Source organism: Homo sapiens, chromosome 4 (genome assembly GCF_000001405.40).
Source record: "Homo sapiens chromosome 4, GRCh38.p14 Primary Assembly".
Taxonomy (NCBI): domain Eukaryota; kingdom Metazoa; phylum Chordata; class Mammalia; order Primates; family Hominidae; genus Homo; species Homo sapiens.
Genome location: NC_000004.12, coordinates 56,986,690 through 56,999,986, shown reverse-complemented (window position 1 = coordinate 56,999,986; position 13,297 = coordinate 56,986,690). Strand labels below are relative to the sequence as shown.

The window sequence follows — 13,297 nt, the reverse complement described above, 5'->3', positions numbered from 1 at the left end:
TGGTTTTCATGTCTATTTTACAACAAACTGTCAGAAAAGAGACCCAGGCAGGGCTGAAAGCTTTCACTACACAGTAAATGGCATAAGATTTGTGACAGCTAAATTACTCTTCAGAACAGCTTTCTACTATGTTTTAAGGTTAGCAACAATCAGTAACTCTAAATCTCTTATAAAGCTCTGTGAATACATTTTGCTTTCACATTACCATTTCCATCATCTCTGGATCTTCAAAATCATAAATAATATGTTCTAAAATATCTCTGTCGGACACAAAACCTAATGCTCTGAACACAATAATGATGGGAACTTCTTGCTTGATATATGGTAGAGTTGCCACAATGCGCTGACCAATAGCACTCTTCTTGGCACCCTAGAAAAATAAAGTATCATTAGAACATGAATATACAAAAGCTCACAGCAATATAAAAACACCAAGAGAACTATTTAATATATATATATTCTTTGTGCACATTTCAAAAGAAGCACGCCTCCCAATACTGTGAGGAACCTCCTATGACTGCTTTTCAAAACCACCGAAACAAGTATACTAATTTTACATACAGGCTCAGGTCACTTAGACCTGAGACAACTTCCATTCTCTCCTATCTGCATGCCAAGATTCTCTCAGAATTACCCAATACTGTATTTGGAAATCACTTTTGGCTGCAAAAAAATATGAATACTGATTCCTCACCCTCCCCAACCTATCCCCCCTCCAAAAAATTAAACCTCTGGAAGAAAGAAATAGAAGAGAGGTAAAAAAAAAAAAAAAAAGAGACAATACAGATAGACAAATACGGAAAAAAGCTAAGCACACAATAAAAAATAAATATTAAATCAGAGCTGGTCTGTGAGGCATTTCCTTGTCTCAGTGTTTCAAAACTAACAGCCCCTTTCACACAGCTTCTTTTTTCCAATTTCTCCCTCTTTAATTGTACGCATATACAAAGACAAATTAAAAGTTACTAACCTATGACATACCTGACTTCTCAGTTTTAATCATATTTGTTTGCTTCAATATTAATTTCACTCTATCTTCCCTTGGCCTCATAACCCTACATTACTATAATCCCTCTAATAACTTCTGTCATCTTCCTCCTCCCACCACAGGCCTCCTGCTTCAGAACTCCTCTCATGGACTTGTTCAGTAACAACTTTTCATATATGACACCCAAATGTTTATCTTGATCTTTTTCTTGTACCCTCAGCCCCCATATCTCCAAATGCCAATTGGTTGTTTCCACCTGGACATCAATTATTCCATTTAGTCTATTATTTGTTTCATCATGGATCTTATCCCAGAACAAGCAGAACATTAAAAAATAATACAGCTGGGCACAGTGGCTCATGCCTGTAATCCCGGCACTTTGGGAGGCCAAGGCGGGAGGATTGCTTGAGCCCAGCATTTCAAGACCAACCTGGGCAACATAGTGGGACCTCATCTCTATAAATATTTTTAAAATTTTAGGCTGGGCACGGTGGCTCACAGGCCGGGCACAGTGGCTCACATGCCTGTAATCCCAGCACTCTGGGAGGCCAAGGCGGGTGGATCACCAGAGGTTGGGAGTTCGAGATCAGCCTGGCTAACATGGTGAAACCCTGTCTCTACTAAATATACAAAATTAGCTGGGCATGGTGGCACACGCCTGTAATCCCAGCTACTCAGGAGGCTGAGGCAGGAGAATCACTTGAACCCAGGAGGCAGATGTTGCAGTGAGCTGGGATAGAGCCACTCCAGACTTAGTCTCCAAAAAAAAAAAAAAAATTTAAAGAAAAAAAATGTCTACAACATGCACTCCCCAAAAATCTTATCTAAAACTGAACTTATTATGTTCTCTCCTAAATCAGTTACTCGAAGTTCACCGCTCTCCTGGAACCTCAGAATACAAATCATAGTATCTTAATTGACTCATCCTTTTATCTTATCAAACCTATCATCAAATCCAGATCATTTTCCTTTCTCTGTCTCTAATTAATTCATTTTGTTCAGAGTTGCCATGATAGTCTCCCTAATATACTGTTTATGTCTTTGCCCTCTGTCATCCAGGCCGATGCCTCTCGACAAAGAATGCACATCACAATCACCTGGGGACCTCTTTCAAATACTTGTACCTGGGCCCCATTCCACTCCCATTCTCACTATTGAGTCAGCAGATTTGGAAATGGGCCCCTTTTGTACTTGGAAGAGTCTTAGGTTATTGAGGTGAACCTTTAGTTAAGATCCACTAATCCAGATCCACCCTGATCATCTACTTGTCACTCACTATTCAACATACTTCATCCAGCTCAATTAGAGCTATCTTCCAGTGATTCTCCAAATACTCATCCCCACTCTCCTCTAATAAGAATGTCCTTCCAGTTTCTCTCTGCTTATATAAATCCATACCATCTTTCAAAGTGTAAGTCAAGTCCCATCTTCTCTATTAAGTTTCATGAACTGGTCAGGGGCGGTGGCTCATGCCAGCACTTTGGAAGGCCAAGGCAGGCAGGTCACTTGAGCTCAGGAGTTCGAGACCAGCCTAGGCAACATAGTGAAACCCTGTCTCTACAAAAAATACAAAAATTAGCCAGGTGTGGTGGAGCATGCCTATAATCTAACTACTTCGGAGGCTGAAGTACGAGAATCGCTTGGGCCAGGAGGTGGTGGTTGCAGTGAGCCCAGATCGCGCCACTACGCTCCAGCCTAGGCAACAGAATGAGACCCTGTCTCAGAAAAAAAAAAAAAAACTTTGCATGGACCACACCATACTAGTAACCTCATTCTCCTCCAAATTTCTATAAAACTGTTATATGTAATAGGTGTCATTTGGCCTCTGCACTGTGTTACTACCATTTAATGTCTAAAGCTTGTATTCCCAATAAAACCATTCTTTTTTTTCTCTTTTTTTCTTTTTGGAACAGGCTCTGGCTCTGTCACCCACGCTGGTGTGCAGTGGCGCCAATCTGGGCTCACTGCAACCTCAGCACTCAAGCCATCTTCCCACCTCAGCTTCCCGAGTAACCGGGACTACAGGTGCCTGCCACCACATCCAGCTAATTTTTGGGTTTTTGTTGTTGTTGTTTTGCTAGAGAAAGTGTTTTGCCATGTTGCCCAGGCTGGTCTCACATCCCGGGCTCAAGCAATCCACCCACCTCAGCCTCCCAAAGTGCTGGGATTACAGGCATGAGCCACCACACCTGGCCACCTTCTCAATAAGGATTGTGTGTTTTCATGATCTCTTAACAATACCCAGCAATGTTGTGCACATGGGAAGAATGCTTATCTTACAAATAAAATATTATGAAAAACATTCTTGAGGTGACAGGTATGCTAAGTACCCTAATTTGATCATTACACATTGTATACACGTATCAAAATATCACATTGCATCCCACACATGCATAATTATTAAATAAAATTGAAGGCCGGGCACAGTGGCTCACGCCTGTAATCCCAGCACTTTTGGAGGCCGAGGCGGGCGGATCACGAGGTCAGGAGATCGAGACCATCCTGGCTAACACGGTGAAACCCCATCTCTACTAAAAATACAAAAAAAAAATTAGCCGGGCGCGGTGGCGGGCGCCTGTAGTCCCAGCTACTCGGGAGGCTGAGGCAGGAGAATGGCGTGAACCCAGGAGGCGGAGCTTGCACTGAGCCGAGATCATGCCACTGCACTGCAGCCTGGTGACAGGGCAAGACTCCGTCTCAAAAAAAAAAAAAAAAAAAAATATATATATATATATACACACACACACACACATATACATACACACACACACACACACACACACACACACACATGAACTGAAATAGAGGTTTTCCAAGATAGCTGTAAAAATTAAATCAAGCAATCTGAGTAACAGAATTGGCATACAGCAAATATTTAAGAACTGCTAGCTACTACCAGGTTCCATTATTATAAGCAACCTATGCTTATAACTATACCAGTGGTCTGCAGCTTCTAAGCTGGTACCCAATGATTCCTGCCTCCTACTATTGCCCTTGTAATACCCTCTTTAGTGTGAGCTGGACATACTGACTTGCAACCAACAAAAAGAACATGGCAAAAATGACAGGATGTTGCTACCACTTTTAAGTTATAAAAGACTGATTTCCACCTTGCTCGTACTCTCTATGGCTCTTTTTGCTTACTCTCTCTGAAGAAGCAAGCTGCTATGCTGCTGTCAGCTGCTATACGCAGAGGCCCACATGGCAAGGAACAAAGAAAGGCTTCCAGCCAACAGCGAGCAAAGACCTGGGACTCAGTCCAACAGCCAATGAAGAACTAAATCCTGCAGACAACCATGGGAATGACTCTTGAGATTACGGCAGCCCAGGGAAACATCTGATTGCAGCCTTGTGAGAGTTGCTTGGCCAAAAGACCCAGCTAAGCTACACCCAGATTCCTGACTCACAGAAGCCGTGAGATGATAAATGTTGCTAGAGGAGTAATTTGTTACACAGCGATAGGTAAACAATACGATATATAACAACAATATGCTCCAGAAAAGCTTCTATGGACAAAGAAGGCAGTCTAGTAAATTTTAAAACAAAGCACAAAGGAATAAACCCAAATAGCATCATATCCAGTCCATACCTGTCCTCCTCTTGCCAGCATGCTAACCCATATAGTACTGGTGGGTCGGGAAGAATTCTCAAGACATGATCTACACTCTCCTGTGTAGGCATATTTAGAATCCTTTTTGGCAAACACATAAACTGTGTTTGTTGCCATTTTCTCTTGGGCAATCAGAACCTATTTGGACAATAAGAAAGTTACAGCCATAAAATCCAAAACATCACTGAAGAGAAAAGAGAGTAAAATCTGCATCTTAATTTAATCTGACCATATAGGCTCACTGAAATATTTAATTCTTCAACTTTACAAACTCCATTTTGCATAAATGCTTCATAGAAATACATAAACTCCAAAACTGACCAAATTCCCAGTGCATGTTATATACAGCTAAATAAAGCTTTGGTTTATATAAGTTTAGCTGTCATACCCTAAACAAGTCAACTGTCAGTGCCAGGTTATCCTGCAGGAAAATCTTTCTTTCTTTTTTTTTTTTTTTTCATTTCAACTTTAAACTAAATTTTAACTACCATTTTGTAATTTTTTAAAATAATGTTACTATACCTTTTCTGATCCATTAATAATGAAATAGCCACCAGGATCCAAAGGGCATTCATTTAACTCACAAAGATCACGATCTGTCAAGCCATTCAAAAGGCAGTAAGTTGACCGCAACATAATTGGAATTTTTCCTATAAAAGTTTTCTGATGCTGAGTCTGAAGTTGTTCTTCACCTTCTTTAATGACTGTTTTTGTTATATCAACATAAAGCGGAGCAGAATACCTTTGAAAATAAAAGTAGATCACAGTTAAGCAATAGGGTATCTGTTAAAACAAATCCTCAAGTGGTTAAAATTACATTTTCAAAATTCTATTTCAGTATCTACTGCTGACAAGGAAAAATTCTTTCTTACGTGAGATTCCTTAATCTAGCTTCATTGGGCATCATTGGTGAAGGAGCACCATCTCTTTCCCAATGGGTAGGCTTGGAAAGATAAATTTGTTCAAACTTCAGCAAATATCGTGGCTGAAATTAAACAAAAAAACATGAAAAGGGTAAATAATTTTTTCCATAAAAGTTTTAGTGATTCCATTTTAATTGACATTAACATTTTAAGTACAAGCAACTCTACAAACTGGCAAAATTAATCCATTTTACTGAAATGGGGACTTCCCAAAGTCAATATCCATATTGCATAGACGTTAAGTTTTAAACCAAATCACTTTCTTTTTTCCTCTTTTCTTAAAAATTTTTTTTCACATTAGACAGGTAATGTGCTAACAAGGTTTGTAACAAGGTTTAAGGAAGGCACATCTCACACCCAATCATCACACACTTATCAACTACAGAAGGATCTGCTAATTGCTTTCTTAAGGCAGAAGACAAAAAGAGACTTAATATACTAAAAGTAAAGACTGTACACATCATGTGCTCTGAGTTTATATGAAACAGTTAAAATGGATTTACATTAATGATCTACATAGTTTCTTGTGCCCTCTCCTTGGTAAGCATCATCAAAAATACAAAGTGACCAGAGAACAAAGATAACAAATCCAGACAACTAGAACTATGCTCTAATCTAATCAATAGAACATTTTAAAAAATAAACCTCTCTTCAGTTAAATATACAAATTAATCTGTCAAAGGAGTAGAGTTAACAAAAGAAAAAGATTTTTTTATTTTAAAAAACACACAAAATATCCTAATCATTCTATATAAAGGGCTGAGAATTTCCAACTCTGGCTGGAATATAGCTTAGTTCATAGAAAAAAAAAGAAATTTTTCAATTAAACATTCACTTGCTGCCTAATAAAACAAGATCCATGAGGACAACTTTCTAGAGATAAATGGATAGTGTACTTTTCTCTAAATCAAGTCTCAGAGAAGAAAACAGGAGTAAGCAGACGTTTTACTAATGATTAATTATTGACACTCAAGTCTCCCAAGCTGGGCTGGATAAAGGGCAAAGAGAACGGTGGTGATAACGAACCAAAGGGAAGCCAATCCTCTACTCCTTATCTGTGCCATCATCTAGTCTAGGTCATTATTATCTTAATCATAGGCTATTCTAAGATTTTTATCTCCTCCAGTCTCTTTTGTTTTGTTTCATTTTGTTTTGTTTTGTTTGAGACAGGGTCTCACTCTGTCACCCAGGATGGAGTGCAGTGGCGTGATCTCGGCTCACTGCAGCCTCCACCTCCTGGGTTCAAGTGATTCTCCTGCCTCAGCCTCCCAAGTAGCTGGGACTACAGGCGCACCACCAGGCCCGGCTAATTTTTGTATTTTTTGGTAGAGATGGGGCTTCACCAAGCTGGCCAGGATGGTCTCAAACTCCTGGCCTCAAGAGATCTGCCTGCCTAGGCCTCCCAAAGTGCTGGGATTACAGGCATGAGCCACCACATCTGGCCTCCTCTAGCCTCTTTCTATTCCAAGCAAGCATCACTTTCCAAAGTAACTTTTCTAAAATAATGCTTTATGTATATTCTTTGACAGTCTCTCAGTAATTCCTCATAACATCCAATGACATTCAAAGCTTTCAACAATCGGGTTCCATCTTATCTTCCTAATGCCTATTAAAAATAGAGAAGCCCTGTAATCCCAGCACTTTGGGAGGCCAAGGAGGGCAGATCATGAGGTCAGGAGATCGAGACCATCCTGGCTAATACGGCAAAACCCTGTCTCTACTAAAAATACAAAAAAATAATAGCCGGGCGTGGTGGCAGGCGCCTGTAGTCCCAGCAACTCAAAAAGCTGAGGCAGGAGAATGGCGTGAACCCGGAAGGCGGAGCCTGCAGTGAGCCGAGATCGCGCCACTGCATTCCAGCCTGGCCAACAGGGCGAGACTCTGTCTCAAAAAAAAAAAAAAAAATAGATAAGCCAAAATCACATACTGATCATTGTGGTCCCCAGCCTAAATACACCAAGTATTTTCTTTTCTTTTTTTTTTTTTTTTTTTTTTTTTTTTGAGACAGAGTCTCGACCTCTCGCCCAGGCTGGAGTGCAGTGGCGTGATCTCAGCTCGCTGCAACCTCCGTCTCCCACGTTCAAGCAATTCTCCTGTCTCAGCCTCCCTAGTAGCTGGGACTACAGGTGCCTGGCACCACACCCGGCTAATTTTTGTACTTTACTAGTAGAGACGGGGTTTCACCATATTGGCCAGGCTGGTCTCAAACTCTTGAGCTCAGGTGATCTGCCCGCCTCGGCCTCCCAAAGTGCTAAAATTATAGGCATGAGCCATCGCACCGGCCACACCAAATATTTCCTTGCTGAAATGACTAAGCACCTTTTCTCTTCTAAGAGAGTTCTTCATAGTAAATTTAAGTCTCTTCCATCTTTTCTACTAAGCTCTGATAACTAGGTGTTAGAGATCTACTCCTCTTTTAGTACTTCTGTTACTGGCACGTTCAATTTGCTATGTTATATTGTTATCTGGCTTGTTATACAAAGACCATGAAGAAAAAATGACCCAACAAGCCAGGTGCAGTGGCTCATGCCTATAATCTCAGCACTCTGGGAGGCTGAAGCAGGTGGATCACTTGAGGTCAGGAGTTGGAGATCGGCCTGGCCAACATGTGAAACACCATCTCTACTAAAAATACAAAAAAATTAGCCAAGCATGGTGGTGGGCACCTATAGACCCTGTAAAAAAGAAAAAAATGACCCAAGAATAAAAAAGAAACTTAATGTCCCCCTTTCCAGCACAGCCCTAGAAGAGCCAATCACTTTCATTCTTAACAGCAAAATTCTGTACAGCATGTCCAACTAAAATGGAAATAACAGACCAGCACTTAGGAGATAAGCTACACAGAAGAGAAACTGATCAGGCTAGAAACAATGAACTCTCCCTGTGTCTAGCTCTATTTTGGGGGCTTTCCCTACCTCACTTTGTTTCTCAGTTTTCCCTGTCTCTCAAAGTCCAATATGTTCCAACAGCTGCCTCTCAACTTCTCTAAAACTGGGACAGTCATTATTTTGGACTACATCCTTCTTATAATCACTCATGTAAAACCAAATTATAAAATTATACCCTTAGTATGATTTTAACAATGCTAAAAAACCTGCATATATGTGAGCAAAAGCTACAAGAAACTTAGTAAAGATAGCTGCTATGTTTGGGTGATTTTCCTTTCTTATCTCATATGGTTATAATAATGTACTTCATGCAATATATAAAATCAGATGAAAATTCCTTCAAACATTTTTTATTATTTTTACACTGTGAGAGAAAAAAGCGGGGTTATCTATCTAAAGCAATGTGACCATCTCTGGCTCACTTCTCTTATTTGTTCATATTTCAGAGTCCTCTCTTCCCAGCTATTCAATACCTACTATGTGAATAAGGATGGGATAACTTGCAAAAAAACACACCTCTTCATTAGAGAAAATAAATCAGAAAGTGATTGACGGTGCTGTAAGTACTTTGCTAAAAGCTCCAACTGACTTTTTTTAACCTTTAAGCCAGGTAAGAGAAGGGCTAAAATTTCAAACCAATACGCTTCTTGTACCTGTGTAACTATTAGAACTATCTTACCGGTTCTTCAACTTCTCCACTAGCATGCTGAGCTTCAGCCTGTAGGTCTATAGGAGGAGCGTCTTCCACAATTCTTTGAACAGACATCTGAATAAACTCATCAAAAGAATCCAGCTGTTGTCTAACCAAGCCTTTCTCGTCAAAATAGGAACTGGGAAAATATTTGAGTTCAGTCAGTTGCAACTCAGTGATAATTTCTAGCATAATTCCCCATTTTCATTATTTCCCCATTTTCATTATTCAAGAAACAGTCATAAAATACCAACCATTATATGTCAACCACTAAACAAGACACTATGAGGTATCTTAAAAAGGATGAAACCGGGCATATTTTCTTTGTAGAACTTATTATTTGGGGAAAAGCAGCTTATATTTGGGGGTAAAATACTTAAAGCACAATATAAGAACTATAAGGATCCCAGCTCCTGGGAGGCCAAGGCAGGAGGATTGCTTGAGTTCAGCCTGGGCAACGCAATGAGACCTCATTTCAACAAATAAGAAAAAAATTAGCCAGGCATGGTGGCATGTGCCTATAGTCCCACATATTCAAGAGGATGAGGTAGGGGGATCACTTGAGCCCAGGAGTTTGAGGCTGCATTGAGTCATGATTGCATCATTGCACTCCAGCCTAGGAGACAGCGAAACCCTATCTCAAAGAAAAAAAAAAACTTTATGCCCTTTATGGACAAATTTTATTCCACCTCTTTGAAGTACTTCTTGACAAATATGTCAGGAGAGAAAACTAAAGAAAAGTCAAAGATAACAATAAGAACTTTCATTTGAATAGGACGGAGGGTAGTGATATTAATGACTAAAATAATGCATGAGAATGCCAACTTTAGGTTATAGATCATTAGTTCTATTTTGAATTCTTAAAGGTAGGATAAGAAGAATAAGTCTTTACATAAAAATACTCAGCAAAAGACTGGTGATAAAAATGCAGCATGGCTGAGAGAGCTGCAATCTAAAAAGCAGACATCATATTTATAAGGAACAGATACTTTTCAGGTGAGGGGTGGGGAAAGACATACAGAGACAAGTAGATACACGTGCAAGAGGATCTCAACAGATCACTCCCTATTACCATCCAGGGACAGCTGCAAAGCTGGGCATCACAGAGGCTGGAGGATGTAGCACAACCCTCAAGATTATCCCATCACCCTTCAGCAGTAGGAAGTGCCCCACCACACCTCCACGTCTCCACTCCTATATCTTGTGACCTCTGTCATCTTATATCTGTGAGACCTTCTTAGCTTCTACTCCCCAACTACTGACTCCCCCATCTTCACATCAATTTTCTAAGACAATATGCAGAGTCCAACTAATCATCAGCCTCCCATTTTGGCTTCATCAGGTCACCTCGCACATCAGTGACAGGCCAACAAATTGGCCCCACCCTGATCCAGTCAAGTATGGCCACCAAAATTAGAAGTTAGGTCCTATGGTAGAAAACACAGCAGACAATCACACATGTGTAAGGTATGACCTAAATAACAGTTGGGGCAATTTATTTCAGTAGAGACTGTCACATAATGGGAAAGAAATTTCTCACAACCATGTGGATTAGCCATTGATATTGTAAGAAAAACATGGCATTGCCTGTAATATACATAGCCATGGTTTTTTATAGGCAATTTAAGATGAATAGCTTCTAAACTATAGATAAGTTTCATTACCCCAGGAAGCTGAACTATAGCTACTTTACCCAAAATCATTAGAATGGTGCTTAAACACCTAAACTATATAAATATTTCATATTTATGATCTCTACTCTGTTTATTTTACCTGAAGTCATCTTATGAAGTTACTTGTGATATTAACTAATATCACATTCACAAGATCACTTGATATTAAAAAGTAAAAAAAAATCAAAATTCATTTCTCAATAGCCAAAGTATCTACAGTCAATTTAAACTTAAAAATCAAATAATTTATTTTGTAACAAATGATAAATGCTATGACAGTTCACAATAGAGTATTTTATCCTTGAGCAATCTACCACATATGTTGAAAACAACTTCTTTTCACCTAAGATAAAATATTTTTTCTACCGGGAGAATGTAGAATATAGGCACACTCCACAGAACATCTACCTGGTTATTGTTTCCTAATAAAATATCTCTTGGTGTTTAACACCCAAACATCACAGAAGATGTAACTGTCTCAGTAAAGTTTAGTCTTCTACAGCCAATTTGTTTTATTTTTTGTGTTTACAAAAGTTTACTCTTAAATGGCTCCAGGACAATGCTTCATTCTAGCTATAGGTGGCAAAAGATATTATGGCAGGGAATACAGATGTTTAAATACAAATGGAATCAAAGGTCACCATCACCTCAGGCACAATGAAAAGCTGACTTTTTGCCAGATTTCTCTTTTTTTCTTTCTTTAAAAAAAAAAGAGATAGACAGGGTCTGGCTATGTTGCATAGGCTGGTCTCAAACTCCTGAGCTCAAGTCATCCACCGGCCTCAGCCTCCCAAAGTGTTGGGATTACGGGCAGGTGCGAGCCACCTCGCCAAGACTTTTTGTCAAATTTCTTAATTCTACCTGTGGCCAGGGGCCCTTTCCCCACAGCCTTCTATTTTAAAGCTTTTTCTGCTCCTCTTTTTGTTTCTGCTTGAAAGCTGTATCTTCCTCGTCCATCTCCTTGGCCTGCTTCTTGGGCTGTTTCAGGGGCTTCTTGCTACCTTTGCAACCAAACATGGCAACTGCCGCCCCGGCCCCTTCTCCAAACCCTGCCACCAGAAACAGAGCTCCTATCCTCACCATCAACTCCTTATGGAAAAATATATACTTATATCCCAAAAACTCAATATATATTTTTTAATTATTTATTTTTAGAGACAAGGTCTCACTATGTTACCCAGGCAACACTCAAACTCCTGAGCTCAAGTGATCCTTCTGCCTCAGCCTCCCAGGTAGCTGGGACTATATAGGCACACACCACAGCACCTGGCTTTCAATACTTTTTTTTGTAAGATTCTGGACAACATGCTGAATCAACATCTTTTTTTTTTTGAGACAGAGTCTCACTCTGCCACCCAGGCTGGAGTGCAGTGACATCATCTCAGCTAACTGCAAACTCTGCCTCCCAATTTCAGGTGATTCTCCTGCCTCAGCCTCCCAAGTAGCTGGGATTACAGGTGTGCGCCACCACACCCATCTAATTTTTGTATTTTTTAGTAAAGACGGAGCTTCACTATGTTGGCCAGGCTGGTCTCCAACTCCTGACCTCAAGTGATCTGACTGCCTCAGCATCCCAAAGTGCTGGGATTATAGGCAAATCAGTATCTCTTTCACAAAACAACGTTCAAGAAAGGTTATTCAGTTATACTCTGAATACAACTGGCAGAATGTTGGAAGCATGTGTTCTTTGAAAAGAGAGAATGTTGACCAAAAGGACATGCACCTTGGAGCTGATGGGGCTCAGAGAGGCATCCATCATCATCTTATTGTATATAAAACAGGTGTCAGGGGATGAGAGAAGAGAGAGAAGAGTTATAAGCCTTTAACATCCTAACCTTACAGGATGTTACTTTATCACTTATAAGTTACTTTTCTTACCTATACAAGGCTTCTCGTAATTTTATTACATTTAGTTACACTTAGAATTGGATGGGAATTTGGAATGAAATACAACCAATTTTAACTTTGTCCATTTAAAATAATGAGAAAACCAAGCAATCAAATTAACATTACTAGTAATGAAACAAACATGCCTCCTGATATGATGCACTGAGACTATGTCACTTCTGCCAAAAGTAATCATCTGAATCTAATTATGAGAAATATCAGACAAACCTAAACGGAAAGGCATCCTAAAAAGTAACTGGCCCGTATTCTTCAAAAATGTCAAGGTAAAAAAAAGAACAGACACACTGAGGAACTGTTCCAGATTAAAGGAAACAAAAGAACATGCCATGACAAGTAAATGCAATATGTGATCCTAGGTTGGATCCAGGATCAGAAAAATTTGTATTTTGCTATAAACACCAGTGGGACAACTGGCAAAATGTGGGTAAGGTCTATAGATTAAATAAGATCACCATAATTGTGATTATGTAAAAGAATGTTCTTATGTCTGCAGTTATTCTTTTTTTTTTTTGGAAACAGGGTCTCACTCTATCACCAAGACTGGAGTGCAGCGGTGCGACCTTCGCTCACTGTAACCTCAACCTCCCAGGGTCAAATGATCTGCAAGTTACTCTCA

The 13,297-nt window shown here is 39.7% G+C and overlaps 1 protein-coding gene and 1 pseudogene across 3 annotated transcripts in view; both read right to left on the bottom strand.

Annotated features, from left to right (window-relative positions):
- The window catches only part of POLR2B (RNA polymerase II subunit B), a 52,263-nt gene that overhangs the window by 31,172 nt on the left and 7,794 nt on the right, over positions 1–13,297 (bottom strand). For 2 of the 3 annotated variants that reach the window (NM_001303269.2, NM_000938.3), the window contains 5 exons: positions 9,089–9,239; positions 5,471–5,583; positions 5,121–5,340; positions 4,578–4,736; positions 206–370 (listed from right to left, as the gene is read on the bottom strand). In NM_001303269.2, the coding sequence (NP_001290198.1) occupies positions 206–370; positions 4,578–4,736; positions 5,121–5,340; positions 5,471–5,583; positions 9,089–9,239 (808 nt within the window). The remainder of the gene's footprint in view (positions 1–205; positions 371–4,577; positions 4,737–5,120; positions 5,341–5,470; positions 5,584–9,088; positions 9,240–13,297) is intronic. The other variant, NM_001303268.2, reaches the window with a different exon arrangement.
- Positions 5,817–5,912, bottom strand: LOC124900913 (uncharacterized; annotated as a pseudogene).